The sequence below is a fragment of the Homo sapiens genome, chromosome 7 (assembly GCF_000001405.40).
Source record: "Homo sapiens chromosome 7, GRCh38.p14 Primary Assembly".
Lineage (NCBI taxonomy): Eukaryota > Metazoa > Chordata > Mammalia > Primates > Hominidae > Homo > Homo sapiens.
In genome coordinates this window covers 100,527,240-100,546,895 of record NC_000007.14, presented here as the reverse complement: position 1 = coordinate 100,546,895, position 19,656 = coordinate 100,527,240, and the positions used below count along the sequence as shown (strand labels likewise).

At 47.6% G+C, this 19,656-nt stretch overlaps 1 protein-coding gene, 1 long non-coding RNA gene and 1 pseudogene across 4 annotated transcripts in view, besides 7 other annotated features; 2 read left to right on the top strand and 1 right to left on the bottom strand.

The window, feature by feature from the left end:
* Positions 1–7,693, bottom strand: part of AGFG2 (ArfGAP with FG repeats 2) — a 29,018-nt gene extending 21,325 nt beyond the window's left edge. For 2 of the 3 annotated variants that reach the window (XM_005250306.3, NM_006076.5), the window contains exon 1: positions 7,329–7,693. In XM_005250306.3, coding sequence (XP_005250363.1) covers positions 7,329–7,549 — 221 coding nt within the window. In that variant the 5' untranslated portion in view covers positions 7,550–7,693. Of the gene's footprint in view, positions 1–390; positions 466–7,328 lie in introns of those variants that run through there. The other variant, XM_047420307.1, reaches the window with a different exon arrangement.
* On the top strand, positions 400–3,429 carry LOC124901708 (uncharacterized). The gene is made up of 2 exons (XR_007060453.1): positions 400–488; positions 3,264–3,429. It is a non-coding gene; the product is annotated as an uncharacterized LOC124901708 (long non-coding RNA).
* Positions 4,689–4,778: a silencer, noted in NCBI's record as "silent region_18443". NCBI's record gives its function as "represses an Ori minimal core promoter by ATAC-STARR-seq in GM12878 lymphoblastoid cells {active_cell/tissue: GM12878}" and the evidence as "EXISTENCE:reporter gene assay evidence [ECO:0000049][PMID:35858748]".
* Positions 7,333–7,632: a silencer, noted in NCBI's record as "silent region_18442". NCBI's record gives its function as "represses an Ori minimal core promoter by ATAC-STARR-seq in GM12878 lymphoblastoid cells {active_cell/tissue: GM12878}" and the evidence as "EXISTENCE:reporter gene assay evidence [ECO:0000049][PMID:35858748]".
* Positions 7,683–7,962: a silencer, noted in NCBI's record as "silent region_18441". NCBI's record gives its function as "represses an Ori minimal core promoter by ATAC-STARR-seq in GM12878 lymphoblastoid cells {active_cell/tissue: GM12878}" and the evidence as "EXISTENCE:reporter gene assay evidence [ECO:0000049][PMID:35858748]".
* Positions 7,683–8,343: a biological region, named in NCBI's record as "NANOG hESC enhancer GRCh37_chr7:100136176-100136677".
* Positions 7,842–8,343: an enhancer, noted in NCBI's record as "NANOG hESC enhancer chr7:100136176-100136677 (GRCh37/hg19 assembly coordinates)". NCBI's record gives its function as "activates a minimal SCP1, AML or CMV promoter by ChIP-STARR-seq in naive H9 embryonic stem cells {active_cell/tissue: H9 hESC(naive)}" and the evidence as "EXISTENCE:reporter gene assay evidence [ECO:0000049][PMID:30033119]".
* Positions 13,219–13,563: a transcriptional cis regulatory region, noted in NCBI's record as "candidate enhancer chr7.3530 targeted for multiplex CRISPR interference". NCBI's record gives its function as "positively regulates VGF gene expression with high confidence in K562 cells {active_cell/tissue: K562}" and the evidence as "EXISTENCE:mutant phenotype evidence [ECO:0000015][PMID:30612741]".
* Positions 16,237–16,534, top strand: RN7SL416P (RNA, 7SL, cytoplasmic 416, pseudogene; annotated as a pseudogene).
* Positions 19,162–19,291: an enhancer, noted in NCBI's record as "active region_26370". NCBI's record gives its function as "activates an Ori minimal core promoter by ATAC-STARR-seq in GM12878 lymphoblastoid cells {active_cell/tissue: GM12878}" and the evidence as "EXISTENCE:reporter gene assay evidence [ECO:0000049][PMID:35858748]".

Here is a 19,656-nt window from a genome sequence, read left to right as displayed (position 1 = left end):
AACAATAGCTCTTAAGCTTGGTCTGCCCCGAAGACTGTCTTCCGATCACATTTCAGAGATAGTCCATTCTCTCTCCTAAGGCCTCTCTTGCTAATGGCTTGGTTTGGTTTTGCTTTTAATTCTAGCCAGCCTGCTTTTAGACTTTCTCACCTTAACCACTAGGCCCTTCCCCTTCAGAATGTCAGGGCTTTCTGAAGTCTAGCCAGACCTCATTGTCCCTGTGATCTCAAAGGTCTTCTCCTTCACCTCCTACAAACAAAATTTACTTTGCCAAAACACAAGGCATTATGGGAGGCACTGTGGGGGATACAAAAATTATAGGACAGAGTTATCTTATCACCAGGAGCTCACAAGAAGAACCCAGGAAGCCTGGACAAAGGTACTTCTTACTGCAGTAGGGTGCTATTCAGTCAGGCACTGATGGATCAGGGAGAACGTGACTCCAGGATGCAGCAGTTGCGGAAGGAAGAGAAACAGTCATGGGGAAGGTAAAATGTATTATGTTTACACTAGAAAAACAGATTCTAAGCCTATCACAAAAAGGTCATTGACATTTCCTGAATGGATAACCAGGAACTGTTAGCGAACTGTAAACAGGGAGGTATGCTTCCTTGTTAGGGGGAGGAGGCAGGACTCAACCCAGGCATCAATCAAAATGGGATGCTTAGAACAGAACTTATGGTTGAGCCTGGACTAAAAGAGTTTATTTTTGGTGGGGGTGGCGGGCGGGGGGGGCGGCAGACGTGACAGGATGATGGGAAGGCAGAGAAAATAAGAAATGATTTAGGTGCTTTGGGCCAAATGAATCTGATGGAACAGGATGTTTCCATAGCACAGTACAAAAAGCATTGCTCTGACCTTGATGTCTGTAGACTGGATTTTGTACAACCAGAGCCACAGTCTGGGGGCAGGGAGAATTCTCTACAAGGCAACACTGCAGCCTAGGAAGGGGGCCTAGTTACATGGCCTATGAGTCAGAGTTTTTCTTTCTGAATCACAGAGAGGCCACTGCTGGCCAAAAGAAGCAATTTAGAAACGAGAGCCCCCTTCCTCCTGGTAGCTAAAACCATGTGGCCTAGGTGTGCTGCATTTCACTGGGTACACACCAGGGTCATGCAGCGGACCAGATGTGAGTCACTGGCCTGGAATTAAACAGGCCCAGCTCTCCCACTTGCACCCAGCTCCCCAACATAACTCTCAGGTTCCTCCCAAAAGAGGTAATCACAGCAAATTCATTCTGGTATTTCTAACCAGGAAGTGCTGGGGAGGAACAGAGATCAATTTATTTTCTCAGAATAGAGTAAGTTTTTCCAATGGAAAGTACATTATTACTAGGACTCAAGCCTCCAGCCAGTCAGGTTGTCTTTATCCACTTCAGTTTCTTTTTCACAGGGCACCTAAAGGGCATATGAAGTATTCTGAATTATTTGGCAGCTGAAGCCACTTGTATGTGTAGCTGCTAACAACTGCCCAGTCCTCTCTCTTTCCCTCCCTCCCGTCTCCTCTCTGATTCCATTAGGCATAGTACTATTTCCACAAATACCACACCTTTTGTTTTTCTGTGATCATCACCCTCATGCTGGCCCATATTTTTGCTTCTATCTTGCTTCATAAAAGCATCAAACCTGCTCAGCTGCTCAGATAAGAAAGTTCTGCCAGGTCAACAATGGAAAAAAACCAGTTCCACCCAGCACCCAAGTTCTTTTTCATTTGTGCCAAATTTGGACTTGGGAAATCCTTGCCTTTGAACAATTGTGTTCAGATTCATACACCCCAGATCGTGTTTCTTTGCTCTGGGATTTCACTCCTCTGCTTCTGAACAGGATACAACTAAACCAGTTTAGCTCTTATCTTGGATGCAAACATCACCATGAAGAGTCCCTGTTAGGAACTTTTAATAGTCCCTAAGAGGAAGGCTCTCCTATTACCCTGCTCCAGGGTCAATTTCACTAATTTTAGGAACCCTCTTCCTGATCTAAATTCTGCTTCAACCCATTTCCTTTGTTCCTCCTCAGCAGCAATGATAAACAGCTGTCCTGTTGATTAGAGCCAGGTAGACTCCTGATAGCATCCAGCCGCCCTTCCCTTTAGGCTCAACCTCAATCTTTTTTACATGTCTCCCTCTGCCCTCACCTCTCTCATCCCCACCCCCCCGCCCACCACCCCACGTCGAGCTTTTTCTCATCCCTTTAGTAATTTATCACTTCCTTCGGGGCTTTTCAAGTGGTTCATGCACCCCTTATGAAACAGCACCTACATCTGTAATTTAGTGAGAGACTCTGTCCACCTCTGCCCAGCAGAGGTCAACATGAAAGGTGACAGAGGAGGGGATGGAGGGATGGGACTAAAACAGGGGCAAGGTACATGTGTACCTCTCCAACCCAGACAGATGGAAAAGTACTGAATTATTGAAGAACATACTGTACCTTTCCTCCCATGGAGATTAAAATGCTTCAACTAAGAACCACCAGCAAGCCCGACAGGGAAAGTAAGGCACAAGGAGGGCAGGAACTTGTCACAAATAAAGAGCTGTCAAGTGCATTCTTGACACCCAGCCCAGAGCTCTGCCCACCTTAATTCTGACTCCTGTGATCACAGTAAAGTTGGGCAGAAATAGAAGAGATAAGTGTCTATTACAAACACCTGAAGAACGATGGATTGAAGATGGACCCAAACAGCCACATCAAGGAAATATGTCATACTTTGCTGAAAAAACTGGGTGTCAAAGTTAGCGTCCATCCTTGTGTCAATGAGATCTCAGGCCTCAACATCCATTTTCTTTCTGAGGAACAGTGGTTCATTCACAGACGCATTCAGGCAAACCAGAACAAGAAAGAACATTTAAAGCACTGCTTTGCAAATAGATGCTTTTTAGCAGCAATTTTTACCACGTCTTAAGATTCAAATGACAGATTCATCCTCCAAGAATTAGAAATGTAACTAAACAAACAAGCATATGTGTATGTTGGGGAAATTAAACAGATCCACATCTAGGTTAAGGAAATTAGGTACTGGAAGAAAACCAAATGAATAAAACTAGGTCAGGTGTGGGACCTACAATTGTGGCAGTATGTATGTAAATTTAGGAACAGCAGAAACTAGCAGCCTTTCTCTCAACCCCTCACACCAACGCTGTAGGTTTTTGCTACAGCTGAGAAAATATTTCTCATTAAAAAAGAGAGAACAAGAATGAGTTCATACATGCAGGGATGCAGGCAGAGTCATACCCACCCACCAATATTAAAATGTGTGTTTTTCTTCAGATCTTAGGAAATTCAACTTTGGCTGGAACCATCAACTTTGCTACATCGGCCAATCCAACCAGCTGGGAATTCTAGTAATTTTGCTCACTGCCCCCAGACGACTCTATCCCCTTATGAAGGAGACATATTTGTAACCCACTGAACAGAAAACTGGCCTTTAAAATAATGTCATCCTGCTGTCTCCTTTCTGTGGCTACGGTGCTAATGTGGTATTTCAATTTCTTCCCTCAATATCCTCTTCATTTTAACAAAGAATATTTCTTCTCGAGGCCAGGCACAGTGGCTCACGCCTGTAATCCCAGCACTTTGGGAGGCCAAGGCAGGTGGATCACCTGAGGTCAGGAGTTTGAGACCAGCCTGGCCAACATGGTGAAACCCCGTCTCTACTAAAAATACAAAAATTAGCTGGGCGTGGTGGTGTGCACATGTAATCCCAGCTACCTGGGGAGGCTGAGGCAGGAGAATCGCTTGAAACCAGGAGGTGGAGGTTGCAGTGAGCCAAGATCGGACCACTGCACTCCAGCCTGGGCGACAGAGCGAGACTCCATCTCAAAAAAAAAAATTAATAATAATATTTCTTCTCTTTGCATCATACCTCAGTTTGGTATCACTCTAACCCACAGAGCTTCATTTTACTTCATAGCTTTTAGCAATACAGAACGATTTCTTTATAGTCCATGGCTTCCACTAGGATGTCAGCTCCGTGAAAATGGGAACTTATCACTACTGTATCTCCAGTACCTAAAACAGTGTCTGGCGCTTGATAGGCACTGAATAAGTTCGTGTTGACTGACCGAATGAATAAACATGCAGGCTGTCAGCCGACCACAATTTTCACTTCCCACCAACACCAAACCCTAATCTACAGGTAATCAATCATGGGGATTTAAGATGCTAATTGGTCTCCGTGCCACCATGGAGCCATGCCTCCAGAAATAAGCATCCCCTGCCTCACATTCTGCCTTACAGCCCACCTGCCAGCTCCCACTCCTTCCCACAGCATATCAAAGGGACACAGGTAATACTGTGTTAAGACCCCTTTACAAGGATTATATGCCTTGCCCTTGTCATGCTAATTATAGGGAAACTCCAGCTTTCTTGCAGAGTTTCTCCTGAAATTTCTCACTCTCAACATACCTTCAATTCAGCTTCATTTACTGGCCTAACCTCTTGATCTTTCATTTCACTCTCATTTCCTACTAACAAAGGGTTGGTCTAGCTTCTCATTTCCCAAACACCAAAATATGCTCTCTAAATCCTCCTCTGTGAGAATCACTCCCTGGTTTAGTCTCATAATGCTTTACCAAAAAGCTAAGCAGGCTGGGTGCCGTGGCTCACGCCTGTAATCCCAGCACTTTGGGAGGCGAGGCGGGCGGATCACTTGAGATCAGGAGTTCGAGACCAGCCTGACCAACATGGCAAAACCCCGTCTCTACTAAAAATACAAACATTAGCCAGATGTGGTAGCGCGTGCCTGTAGTCTCAGCTACTCAGGAGGCTGAGGCAAGAGAATTGCTTAAACCCAGGAGGCAGGGGTTGCAATGAGCCGAGATCGCGCCATTGCACTCCAGCCTAAGCAACAGAGTGAGACTCCATCTCAAAAAAAGAAAAAAGAAACCAGGTTTTTAACGTGTCCCAGATACCTTAGCTTTCTTTGTGTCCTGATTGAGGGGTATTATAAGGGAAATGTTATCTGTGGGACACTTTAACAAAGATCTACAAAATAATGATAACAATGTCAGCACTTCCCAGTTACTCAATTTTATCCATCAGTTTCATCCTTCTGCTTCTCATAGCAGGATCTTCAGGAATCAGCTCTTTCTCTTTCTACTTTACCCTATACATACTCCTTTTTTTTTTTTTTTTGTGAGACAGAGTCTCGCTCTGCGACCCAGACTGGAGAGTGCAGTGGTGCGATCTCGGCTCATTGCAACCTCCACCTCTTGGGTTCAAGCAATTCTCTTGCCTCAGCCTCCTAAGTAGCTGGGATTACAGGCACCTGCCACCATGCCTGGCTAATTTTTGTATTTTTAGTAAGAGATGAGATTTCGCCATGTTGGCCAGGCTGGTCTCGAAACTCCTGACCTCAAGTGATCTGCTCACCTTGGCCTCCTATACATACTGAGCCACCGAGCCCGACCCCTATACATACTCCTAAACGTTGCTCAATCTCTCCCCAGAGTTCTTCACCCACTCTCGAGTCTCTATCCTCTTGCTTCATTTCAGTCCATCTCAGTTTATGACACATTACTGTTTGGGTTCTCAATCATTATCCCAAGAGCCACGATGACTTTTACTTAGACCAAAGTCAAGTTCATCCTTACAACCCACAAGTGAGGTTGATCAGAACCCAGAGAGAAGTTTAGCAAAGGAGGTTAAAACGAAGTAAATAATTCCAAACGGTATCTTGAGAAAACTAAATCCTCATTGCTGGTCTGCCATGATCATCACTAATATCAAACAACAAATGTTGGAAACCGCAATGCCCATATGGCACTGGATAAGTTACGAAACCTCTCTTTGCTTCTGTTCTCCCATCTGTCTTGCAAGAACAATAGTGCTCGCTCCCTGGCTCCTAAAGGTATCAAGACAGGGAAAGCTTTTTTTTTTTTTTTTTTTTTTGAGACAGTGTCTTGCTCTGTCGCCAGGCTGAAGTGCAGTGGCGCAATCTCAGCTCACTGCAACCTCCACCTCCCGGGTTCAAGTGATTCTCCTGCCTCAGCCTCCCAAGTAGCTGGGAGTACAGGTGCGCGCCACCACACCCAGGTAATTTTTGTATTTTTAGTAGAGATGGGGTTTCACCATGTTGGCCAGGATGGTCTCGATCTCTTGACCTCATGATCTGCCTGCCTCGGCCTCCCAAAGTGCTAGGATTACAGGCGTGAGCCACAGCGCCTGGCTGGAAAGCATTTTTTAAAAAACAAAACAAAAACAACAGTGTCTTAAAATAAGACTAAAAAATTGTCAAAATAAATCCCTTGACAAACTTATTAAAAAACAGAGATCCAGGCCTGATATCAGATGTTAATCATGCATCTAACCAAATAATATCTTAATTTGGGAGTAGGAGGAGTGCAGAGGGGAGTGGAGGGGGCTTTACTATATAACCAGAAATCTAGGCTAGAATTGTGGCTGTAAATTCACTCTGGCATGACCGAACAGTACCAATGCCAAGAGTAGCACTCAGATGATGCACCAAAGCCCCCCCAAAATCTAGAGTTTCCTGGATGCTACCACCAGGATCCAGTCATGGCAACAGGGATCTTAAAGGTGTAAATGATTAACCTTCAGGATGGCTCACCTAGACGTGCAAACGTTTGAAAAAGCTAAGCTCTCTACCAGGGTAACCCATTGGCTCTCATCTCTTAGATTTCGTAAGAGTTTTACCTTCTGGGTAACATTTCAAAGCCCTGCTAAGATTAGTATCTACACCTGAACTCTGGACCATGGCTCCCTTCCAGCCACTATCTCTAGGCTGTCAATCGGGGTTAATTCGCTTTTTTTTTTTTTTTTAATCCTGTACTCTAATCATAGGAATTTCAACCAAGTTTCAGCTGGCTTCTGCATCTCACACTCCAGCAGGGACACAAGCCCGAAGGAAGAAAGGTGCCCGTCCATCTCCAGGCCGGCTTTCCCCACCTTTTTCCTTTTTGCTTTCCACCTGCATGAAGTTCCCTCTAAAGGTGCATGTCATTTTCTGGCCCTTTAAGTCCCGACACCCCATCCCACTCCGAGTTCCCTTCCATCCTCCGCACTTTCTCCCTCCCCACTTGCAGTTTGCCTCGACCCCCTCGGGGAGTTTCTCGGTCCCTCTCCGGGCGTCTTTCTGCACCCGTACCCTTCTCTCCGCAGAGCGACTCCGGCCTTGCTTCCTCTCCCCTGCCCTTTCCCCTCCCCACCACACCGCTGCAGCAGACGACCCCGTCCCCACAGCCGGCGCGTTCCCTGACCTCCCCTCCGCCCCTCACCTCGGCCCCCTTCCCTCGCGCCCCGGAGCCCCGGCCTCCCCACCCCGCCCCCGGGTCCCCCCACGCCGACCTCGGCCACTCCCTCCCGGTCACTCACAGGAGGCCGGAGCAGGTGGTGCACACGAAGCTGCCCACGGTGATATCCACGTAGGTGACCCCGCGCTGGGCGCACTCGAAGCAGTGGCGGTTCCCGGCCTGGCTGCAGCCACCCAGCTCCCGCACCCGACGGCACCACACCTCCGAGGCCGCCTCCGCCTCCGCCTTGCCCCCGCTGACCCCGCCGCCCGGGCCCGGGCCCTTCTTCGCCGCCATCACCATCGCTGCCCACTCCCTCCCCGCTAGTCAGCAATCACCCCTTCAACCACTGCCGCCTTCCCGCCTCCTCAGCCGCCTCCGCACGCCCGGCTCCCCTGACAGAAGCTCGGGAGCGGGCGGCATCCGCAGGAGACTTCGCCGTCCACCACCCTCCTTGCCCGTCCTGCACACTGATTGGCTAGGTTTCTCCCACCTCCTTACTCCGATTGGCCCTCCCTGGGACGGCCTCCGGTTGCTGGAGCCGCCAATGCCCCGCCCCACCGCCTTCAGGCCTCAGGCCTCTCCTATTGGCCGGCAGAGACCCCAGCAGCGAGAACCGTGCGTGCCCTCTCCTTGTCCCCGCCCCCTCTCGCCGCTGCCTCCACCGTGGCCCGCCTCCTAGTTCCGATTGGTGAGTCCTCGGCACTCGGGCTCCGACGCTAATTTTGATTGGCTGGCGGGGCTGCAAAGTTAGCGCGCGAGACAGAGGAGGTGCCCCGCGCGTGCGTAGCTGTCGTCCTCCCGACTGATGACGTTAATTCCCGGCAAATTTCAAAGGCTTACTCTAGACTGTGTAGAGTGTCATGCAAAGCCGAAGAGAAGTGGCCATGTGAGGGGCTGAGCAGGAGGGGGAAAGAAGAGAGCGCTTAAGGGAGAGAGGGAGAGGGAGCAAGAGTGCTTTACTAGACCAGTGCTCTAATTCCTGAGCCACAGAGCGAAGGGAGTGCTTTATAAATGTCATTTCATTCGCTCCGCCTATCCCAGAGGTGGAATCCCCATTTTACACCCTTAGGTTCAACAACTTGCGGCAGATCACACGAGTGCGTGGCCCAGGATTCCACTCTGGGTCTTCCAACTTTAGAAACCCTGCCTTTAACCCTCCTAGTAGGTGGACTATTATTCGATTATTCATTTAACAAACACTGAGTGTCTGCTAGGTTTCAGGCACGTTCTAGACACTGGGAATAGAATACAGCAGCGAAGCAATCAAACAAAATATTCTTATAGAGCTTAGTTTCTAGTAGGGGGAAGCAAACAATACACAAATTAAAGAATCACCAGTTAGTAATAAATCCTACGCAGAGAATTAAAATCACATCTTGGAAAAGACTTTTTGGGTACTTTTTTAATTTTTTAATTTAATTTTAATTTTTTGAGATGGAGTCTCACTCTGTTGCCCAGACTGGAGTGCAGTGGCACGATGTCAGCTCACTGCAACCTCTGCCTCCTGGGTTTAAGCAATTCTCATGCCTCAGTCTCCTGAGTAGCTGGGATTACAGGCGGCCACCACCACCCCCAGATAATTTTTGTATTTTTATTATTATGATTATTATTATTTGAGATGGAGTCTCGCTCTGTCGCCCAGGCTGGAGTGCAGTGGCACGATCTCGGCTCACTGCAAGCTTCGCCTTCTGGGTTCACGCCATTCTCCTGCCTCAGCCTCCCGAGTAGCTGGGACTACAGGCACCCGCCACCACGCCTGGCTAATTTTTTTGTATTTTCAGTGGAGACGGGGTTTCACCGTGTTAGCAAGGATGGTCTCGATCTTCTGACCTCGTGATCCGCCGGTCTTGGCCTCCCAAAGTGCTGGGATTACAGGCGTGAGCCACCGCGCCCGGCCAATTTTTGTATTTTTAGTAGAGACAGGATTTCACCATGTTGGCCAGGCTGGTCTCAAACTCATGGCCTCAAGTGAGCCTCCCGCCTTGGCGTCCCAAAGTGCTGGGATTACAAGCATGAGCCACAATGCCTGGCCACCTGTTGGGTACTTCAGATTGGGTTGGTCACCATTTTTAAAACAATTACTTTTTTTTTGAGACAGGGTCTCGCTTTATCACCCAGGCTGGAGTGCAGTGACACAATCATGGCTCACTGCAGCCTCAACCTTCTGGACTCAAGTGATCCTTCCACCTCAGCCTTCCAAGTAGCTGGGAGTACAGCTGTGCACCACCATGCCTGGCGAATTTTTAAAAATTTTTTGTAGAGATTGGGTCTCACTATATTGCCCAGGCTGGTCTGGACCTCCTGGGCTCAAGTGATCCGCCCACCTCAGCCTCCATCTCCCAGGTTCAAGCGATTCTCCTGCCTCAGCCTCCCAAGTAGTTGGGATTACAGGTGCGTGCCACCATGTCCAGCTAATTTTTGTATTTTTAGTAGAGATGGGGTTTCACCATATTGGCCAGGCTGGTCTTGAAGTCCTGACTTCAAATGATCCACCCACCTTGGCCTCCCAAAGTGCTAGGATTACAGACGTGAGTCACCGCACCCGGCCTCTTTTTGTTTTGTTTTGTTTTTTTTGTTTTTTTTTTTTTTTTTGAGACAAGGTCTTGCTCTGCTGCCCAGGTTGGAGGGCAGTGGCACAATCATACCTCACTGCAGCCTCAACCTCCCCAGTTCAAGTGATCCTCCCACCTCAGTCTCCAGGGTAGCTGAGACTACAGGCGCACACCACCATGCCTGGCTAATTTTTGATTTTTTGTAGAGAAGGGGTCTCACTATGTTGTCCAGGCTGGTGGCTGGCAGCCTGCTTTCTCTCTCTCTCTCTTGTTTTTTTCTTTTTGAGACAGGGTCTTACTCTGTCACCCAGGCTGGAGTGCAGTGGCACAATCTTGGCTCACTGCAACCTCCACTTCCTGGGGCTTGAGTGCTCCTCCCACCTCAGCCTCCCGAGTAGCTGGGACTACAGGTGCATGCCACCATGCCCAGCTAATTTTTTGTATTTTTAGCATGTTGGCCAGGCTGGTCTCGAACACCTGAGTTCAGGTCATCTGCCCGCTTTGGCCTCTCAAAGTGCTGGGATTATAGGTGTGAGCCACCGCACCCGGCCCCATTTTTCAATTAATGGCACCATGAGCCACCTAGTTGCCCAAAGCAAAAATCTAGAGCTACTCTCTTCAATACGGCAGCCACTAATCATATGTGGCTATTTAAGTTTAAATTAAATTAAAATGGGCTGGGCGTGGTGGCTTATGCCTGTAATCCCAGCATTTTGGGAGGCCGAGGCAGGCGGATCACGAGGTCAGGAGTTCGAGAAAAGCCTGGCCAACATAGTGAAACCCTTTAATCTACTAAAAATACAAAAATTAGCCAGGCATGGTGGCAGGCACCTGTAATCCCAGCTACTTGGAAGGCTGAGTCAGGAGAATTGCTTGAACGTGGGAGGTGGAGGTTGCAGTGAGCTGAGATCGCGCCATTGCACTCCACCCTGGGTGACAGAGCGAGACTGTCTCAAAAAAAAAAAAAGAAAGAAAGAAAGAAGAAGGAAAGAAAAAGAAAAGGAAAGGAAAAGGGGAGACTAAAGGAGGAGTAGGTTAGGGCAGGGCCTAACCTACTGGGCCATGGACCAGTACCTGTCTGTGGCCTGTTAGGAACCAGGCCACGCAGCAGGAAGTAAGTGGTGGGCAAATGAGCAAAGCTGCATCTGTATTTACAGCCACTACCCATTGCTCCCATTACCGCCTGAGCTCTGCCTCCTCTCAGATCCGCAACAGCATTAGATTCTCATAGGAGCACGAACCCTATTGTAAACTGCGCATGCAAGGGATCTAGGTCATGCACTCCTTATAAGAATCTAATGCTTGATGACCTGTCACTGTCTCCCATCACCCCCAGATGGGACCGTCTAGTTGCGAGAAAACAAGCTCAGGGCTCCCACTAATTCCACATGATGGTGAGTTGTATAATTATTTTGTTATACATTACAATGTAATAATAATAGAAATAAAGTGCACAGGCCAGGCGCGGTGGCTCACGCCTCTAATCCCAGCACTTTGGGAGCTGAGGTAGGCAGATCACGAGGTCAGGAAATCGAGACCATCCTGGCCAACATGGTGAAACCTCGTCTCTACTAAAAATACAAAACTTAGCTGGCCATGGTGGCACGTGCCTGTAATCCCAGCTACTTGGGAGGCTGAGGCAGGAGAATCGCTTGAACCCAGGAGGTGGAGGTTGCAGTGAGCCAAGATCGTGCCACTGCACTCCAGCCTGGTGACAGAGCGAGACTCCGTTTAAAAAAAAAAAAGTGCACAATAAACTTAATGTGCTCAGATCATCCCAAAATCATCCCCCAACTCCCACCCGCCGGTTAGTGGAAAAATTATCTTCCTGGTCCGTGGTGCCAAAACGGTTGGGGACTGCTGGGTTAGGGGGTGCTGATAGGCAGAAATCAGTAGCTTGGTTTTGGACATGTTGATTTGAGATCCTTGTGAGGCATCCAGTGGGCTGATAAGCAGGCAGGTGGATATGTATAGACTGGATTTCCAGGCCAGGCCAGAGCTGGAAATGTAGGTTTAGGAGTCATCGCTTAGAGCCATGGGACTGGTTGCTTAGGTACAGCATGTAGAGAGAGACTAGAAGCAGGCCCAGAAGTAAACCCTAGGCACCCAATGTGTACTTTGTTCCTTTTCTCCAGTTATCACAGCCACATGCATTTCAACATCCCTAAAAAAAGGCAACACCAGACCGGGTGCAGTGGCTCATGCCTGTAATCCCAGCACTTTGGGAGGCCGAGGGGGGTGGATCACCTGAGGTCAGGAATTTGAGACCAGCCTGGCTAACATGGTGAAACCCCGTTTCTACTAAAAAATACACAAAATTAGCTGGGCATGGTGGCGCATGCCTGTAATCCCAGCTACTCAGGAGGCTGAGGCAGAATCGCCTGAACCCAGAAGTTGGAGGTTGCAGTGAGCTGAGATCGCACCATTGCACTCCAGCTTGGGCAACAAGAGCAAAACTCCATCTCAAAAAAAAAAAAATACAAAAATCAGCTCGGTGTGATGGCGCATGCCCGTAATCCCAGCTACTCAGGAGGCTGAGGCACAAGAATTGCTTGAACCTGGAAGGCAGAGGTTGCAGTGAGCCAAGATTGCATAGCTCCAGCCCAGGTGACAGAGCGGGACTCTATCCCCCTCACCCCCCTCTTCAAAAAAAAAGAAGGCAATACCGTCACATCCAGATATGCAGATGGGGCATCTCAGCCTACTAAACATTCCTTCTGAATTGCAGAGTTCACAATTTCCAAGTGCTGCCCATGCCTCCTCTAGCTTCTCATTAGCCAAGGGTTATTTCTTTTTTCTTTTCTTTTCTTTTCTTTTTGAGATGGAGTCTCACTCTGTTGCCCAGGTTGGAGTGCGGTGGCACAATCTCGGCTCACTGCAACCTCCGCCTCCTGGGTTCAAGCGATTCTCCTGCCTCAGCCTCATGAGTAGCTGGGACCACAGGCGCATGCCACCATGCCCGGCTAATTTTTTGTACTTTTAGTTGAGACAAGGTTTCACCATGTTAGCTAGGATGGTCTCGATCTGCTGATCTCATGATCAGCCCACCTCGGCCTCCCAAAGTTCTGCTATACAGGCGTGAGCCACCGTGCTCAGCATTTTTTTTTTTTTTGAGATAGAGTTTCACTCTTGTTGCCTAGGTTGAGTACAATGGTGCGATCTCGACTCACTGCAGCCTCCGCCTCCCAGGTTCAAGAAATTCTCTTGCCTCAGCCTCCCTAGTAGCTGGGATTACAGGCGCCCACCACCACACCCGGCTAATTTTTTGTATTTTTAGTAGAGACGGGGTTTCACCATGTTGGCCAGGCTGGTCACGAACTCCTGGCCTCAGGTGATCCACCCGCCTCAGCCTCCCAAAGTGCTGGAATTACAGGCGTGAGCCACCGTGCCCAGCTGAGCCAAGGGTTATTTCTTATCATCTTGCAACTTTGAGCAAATTGGTAAATTTAACTACCACCAATAGTGAGTGAAAAAAATTAGAACGTTCATGTAGATAGTGATGGTTTTCTGCTGATTTTTGCCACTGGGTGTGGTGGTGTGAGGGCCGTTGAGGAGCTCACCCTCCTCCCATCTCTACTCCACCCAGGTCATACTGGGGAGCAACACTCCCATTTTCCCTTCATAATCAGGGGGAGCACAGCCAGCATGGGGAGACCTTTTGCCCTGGTGGCAGGAGGAGTCCTAAATAACCAGGTAGAACTCTTATTGGGTTCCCTGGCAAGAACCTTGCCCTTGGGCAGTTAAACCACAGAGCATGAGTGACTTGGGGCGTGGAAAGCAAATATCTTTTTTTTTTTCTTTGAGACGGAGTTTTGCTCTTGTTGCCCAGGCTGGAGTGCAGTGGCGCGATCTCAGTTCACTGAAACCTCCCGGGTTCATGCAATTCTCCTGCCTCAGCCTCCCGAGTAGCTGGGATTATAGGCGCCCACCACCATGCCTGGCTAATTTTTGTATTTTTGGTAGAGACGGGGTTTCACCATGTTGGCGAGACTGGTCTCAAACTCCTGACCTCAAGTGATCCAGCTGCTTCCACCTCCCAAAGCGCTGGGATTACAGGCATGAGCCACCGTGCCCGGCCAGCAAAAAAATTTTAGAGAGAAAAATAATAGTGACAGCTACTCCCCACTGTCCCCCTTAACTGCAACCCTTGGTTTCTGGACCTCTCTATTGACTGAGGAAGACTGGGCGCTGCAATTCAGTCACTGTGAGGATCACATATCACTATCAGCGAGGGAGCGTTGCAGCCTCACAAGTGTGGTCTCGTGGATACTGGCTAGATTTGTTTTTGGTACACCAGTTCATTGTTCTACAAGGCCAGCTGTTTCTGGTACATGGGAAATAGGATAATGGGGCCCATGGCTGGCCAACTGTCTTGTTTTTCTTTTCTTTCTTTCTTTCTTTTTTTTTTTTTTTTTTTTTGACACAGGGTCTTGCTCTGTTGCCCAGCCTGCAATGCAGTGGCACCGTCATAGCTCATTGCAGCCTCTAATTCTTCGGTTCAAGCGATCCTCTTACCTCAGCCTCCCCAGGAGGTGGGACTACAGGCGCACACCACCATGCCTGGCTAGCTTTTTTATTTTTTGTAAAGAGAGAGTTTCACCATGTCTCCCAGACTGGTCTCGAACTCCTGTGCTCAAGCAATCTGCTCACCTTGGCCTCTCAAAGTGCTGGGATTAATTATAGGCGTGAGCCACTGTGGCCAGCCCATGGTAACTTGGTTTTGTTTGTTTGTTTTGTGTGTGTGTGTATGTGTGTGTGTGTGTGTGTGTGTATTGAGATGGAGTCTTACTCTGTCACTCAGGCTGGAATGCAGTGGCATGATTTCAGCTCACTGCAACCTCCGCCTCATGGGTTCAAGCGATTCTCCCTCCTCAGCCCCCCAAGTAGCTGGGATTACAGGCACCTGTCACCACGCCCAGCTAATTTTTCTATTTTTAGTAGAGACGGGTTTCACCATGTTGGCCAGGCTGGTCTCAAACTCCCGACCTCAAGTAATCCACCCGCCTCGGCCTCCCAAATTGCTGAGACTACAGGCATAAGCCATGTGCCCATCCTATGGTAACTTTGTATCCCAGATATTTACACTAAATTTCAGGAACAAGTTAGGAGATGTTCCCCGGAAGAAGAATAATTATCTGCTGAAATGTGGTCTTGTTTCAACACCCCAGAGGCCTCCAGGGAGATTGTCTACTGGGCATGGCAAAGGTTGAGTGGGCTAGACCCCTCTGGCACCACTGGATTAGCCAAGCCATAAGGGCATCTTGCTTTGTAACCTGGACTAATTTAGAAACTTCCTCTTTCACACAGGTGCGGTGGCTCATGCCTGTAATCCCAGCATTTTGGGAAGCCGAGGCGGGCGGATCACGAGGTCAGGAGTTCAAGACCAGCCTGGCCAACCAACATGGTGAAACCCCGTCTCTACTAAAAATATAAAAATTAGCCAGGCGTGGTGGCACACACCTGTAATTCCAGCTACTCAGGAGGCTGAGGCACGAGAATCACTTGAATCAGTGAGGTGGAGGTTGCAGTGAGCCAAGATCATTTCACTACACTCCAGCCTGGGTGACAAAGAGAGACTCTGTCTCAAAAAATAAATAAATAAATAAATAAAAAGTAAAAATGCCCAAGTCTATCCTCCAGAAATGAAATCTGGAATGTCTGAGATGAAAAGTACAGTGAATGGGACTAACAGCAGACTAGATACTACAGAAGAGAATATTATGAACTTGAAGACATAACAGTAGAAAGTATAAAAATGATTTATAGAGCTAGGCACAGTGGTGTGCACCTATAATCCCAGCTACTTGGGAGGCTGAGGCTGGAAGATCAGTTGAGCCCAGGAGTTTGAGACCAGCCTAGGCAACATAGCGAGACCCTGTCTCTTATTTTTTAAAATATTGGAAAAATGAAAAAAGACTGATAAAAACCCAAAACCCACAGATGAACAGAACACCAGTGAGCTGTGAGACAACTTCAGGTGGCCCCCTCAGGAATTGGTGGCAACAGGTATAATACATCTGGGGTAAAGGTAGAGGTTAAAAATAAGTATATTGACTGAAAATCAGTTTTATTTTATTTTATTTTATTTTATTTTATTTTATTTTATTTTATTTTTAAAAATTTTTTTTGAGATGGAGTTTTGGTCTTGTTGCCCTGGCTGGCGTTCAATGGCACGATCTCTGCTCTCTGCAACATCCACCTTTGGGGTTCAAGTGATTCTCCTGCCTCAGCCTCCCAAGTAGCTGGGATTACAGGCACCCGCCACCACACCCAGCTAATTTTGTATTTTTAGTAGAGACGAGGTTTCGCCATGTTGGTCAGCCTGGTCTCAAACTCCTGACCTCGTGATCCACCTGCCTCAGCCTCCCAAAGTGCTGGGATTACAGGCGTGAGCCACTGTGCCCTGCCTAAATGTCAGTTTTAAAAGACATTAGAGCCAGATATGGTGGTGTGCACCTGTAGTCACAGCTATTCAGGAGGCTGAGGCAGAAGGATTGCTTGAGTCCAGAAGTCCTGGGTTGTAGTGTGCTCTGCTGATTGGGTGTCTGCCCTAAGTTCAACAACAATGTGCTGACCTTCCAGAAGCGAGGGACCACCAGGTTGCCTAAGGAGGGTTGAACCTGCCCAGGTTGGAAATGGAGCAAGTCAAAACTCCTGTGCTGATCAGCAGTGGAGTCACGCCTGTGAATAGTCACTGTACTACGGCCTGGGCAACATAGTGAGACCCGTCTCTAAATTAAAAAAAAAAAAAGGGCATTAGACTCACACAAACGTTGGTTGCACTTCTATATATTAAATATGAGCAATGTCAAAAGGAAATTACAAAAACAATTACATTGGCCAGGTGTGGTGGCTCACCTCTGTAATCCCAGCACTTTGGGAGGCCAAGGCGGGCAGATCACTTGAGGTCAGGAGTTCGAGACCAGACTGGCCAACATGGGGAAACCTCGACTCCACTAAAAAAAAATACAAAAATTAGTTGGGTGTAGTGGCCCACGCCTGTAGTCCCAGCTACTTGGGAGGCTGATGCAGGAGAATGGCTTGAACCTGGGAGGTGGAGGCTGCAGTGGGCAGAGATCGTGCCACTGCACTCCAGCCTGGGTGACAGAGTGAGACTCCATCTCAAAAAACAAACAAACAAACAAACAAAAAAACCCCACAAAACATAAAAACAATTACATCTACAATAGCATCACACAGAATAAAATACTTAGGGATTAATTTAACCCTAATTAAATTAAGGAGGTGAAAGACTTGTAAAATGAAAACTATACAACATTGCTGAAAGAAATTAAAGAAGACAAAAATTTATGGAAACACATCCCAGTTCATGAATTGGAAGAGTTAATATTGTTAAGATGTGAATACTAACCAAAGTGATCTACAGATTTAGAGCCAGGCTCAGTGGCTCACTCCTGTAATCCCAGCACTTTGGGAGGAGTAGGTAAGCGGATCACCTGAGGTCAGGAGTTCGAGACCACCCTGGCCAACATGGAGAAACCCCGTCTCTACTAAAAATACAAAAATTAGCCAGGCATGGTGGCATGCACCTGTAATCCCACCTACTCAGAAGGCTGAGGCAGGAGAATCACTTGAACCCAGGAGGAGGAGGTTGCAGTGAGCCGAGATCGCACCGCTGCACTCCAGCCTGGGTGACAGAGCGAGACTCCGTCTCAAACAAACAAACAAAAACCAACAAAGTGATCTACAGATTCAGTGCAATCTCTATCAAAATTCCAATGATGTGTTCTGCAGAAATAGAAAAGCCCATGCTAAAATTTCTATGAAATCTCAGCGGACTCCAAATAGCCAAAACACTATTCAAAAAGACTAACAGGCTGGGCATGGTGGCTCACGCCTGTAATCCCAGCACTCTAGGAGGCCGAGGTGGGCAGATCACCTGAGGTCAGGAGTTCAAGACCAGCCTGGCCATGGTGAAACCCCATCTCTACTAAAAATACACAAAATTAGGCGGGCATGGTGGTGCATGCCTGTAATCCCAGCTACTCGGGAGGCTGAGGCAGGAGAATCACTTGAACCCAGGAGGCGGAGGTTGCAGTGAGCCAAGATCGTGCCATTGCACTCCAGCCTGGGCAACAGGAGCGAAACTCCATCTCAAAAAAAAAAAAGGGACTAACAAAATTGGAGGACTCACACTTCTTGATTTCAAAACTTATTACAAAGCCATGTGATCAAAACAGCATGGTACTGGCATAAAGACAGACATATAGGCTCGGGTGTGGTGGCTCATGCCTGTAATCCCAGCACTTTGCGGGGCCGAGGTGGGTGGATCATTTGAGGTCAGGAGTTCAAGAGCAGCCTGGCCAACGTGCTGAAACGCCGTCTCTACTAAAAAAAAAAAAAAAAAAAAAAAAAAAAAAATACAAACATTAGCCAGGTGTGGTGGCACGTGCTTGTCTTCCCAGCTACTCGGGAGGCTGAGGCAGGAGAATGACTTGAACCAGGGAGGCGGATGTTGCAGTGAGCCTAAATTGTGCCATTGCACTCCAGCCTGGGCGACAGAGCAATACTCCATCTCAAAAAAACGAAACAAAACAAAACAAAAAAAACCTGTCTTTTCAACAAATGGTATTGGGATAACTGCATATCTACATGTGAAAGAATGAAGTGGAACTCTTACCTAACACCATATACAAAAATTAACTCAAAATGGATAAAAGACCTAAATGTCAGACCTAAAACTAAGAAAGATTTAGAATAAACCATAGGGCAAGAGCTTCATGACATTGGATTTTGCAATTACAGTTGACCCTTGAACAAAGCGGGAGTTAGGGACAAAGGACTTGAACAGACATTTCTCCAAAGAAGATACACAAATGGCCAATAAGCACACAAAAAGATGCTCAACATCATTAGTCATTAGGAAATGCAATCAAAGCCATGGATGAGATACCACTTCACATCCACTAGGATGGCTGTAATCAAAAAAGGGAAAACTAGCAATTGTTGGTGAGGATGTAGAGAAATTGTAACCCTTGTACATTGCTGGTGGAAATGAAAAATGGTGCAGCTGCCATGGAAAGCAGTTTACCAGTTCTTCAAATAGTTAAATATAGAGGCCGGGCACAGTGGCTCACGCCTGTAATCCCAGCACTTTAGGAGGCCAAGGCGGGCGGATTGCCTGAGGTCAGGAGATTGAGACCAGTCTGGCCAACATGGTGAAACCCCATCTCTACTAAAAATACAAAAAATAAAAAATAAATAAAAATAAAAAATTAGCCGGGTGTGGTGGTGTACACCTGTAATCCCAGCTACTCGGGAAGCTGAGGCAGGGGAATTGCTTGAACCAGGGAGACAGAGGATGCAGTGAGCCGAGATCATGCCACTGCACTCCAGCCTGGGTGACAGAGTGAGACTCTGTCTCAAAAAAAAATAAAGTTAAATATAGAATTACTATATGACTCAGCTGTTTCACTCCTAGTTATATACCCTAAGGAGTTTAAAACAGCTATTCAAATCAAAACTTGTACACGAAAGTTCATAGCAGCACCATCCATGATAGCCTAAAGGTAGAAATAATCTAAATGTCCATTGACAGATGAGTGGATAGAGAAATTGTGGCATATACAGAACGGGGCATGGTGGCTCACACCTGTAATCTCAGCTTTGGAGGCTGAGGCAGGAGGATTGCTTGATCCCAGTAGTTTGAGACGAGCCTCGACAACAAGTGAGACCCCATCTCTACAAAAATTTTAACAAATTAAAAAATTAGCCAAGTGTGGTGGCACATGCCTGTAGTACCAGCTACTTGGGAGGCTGAGGTGGGAGGATCACACAGCCCAGGAGCAAGAGCCTGTCTTAAAAAGAAAAACAAAAACAAAGAGAAGCAATTGG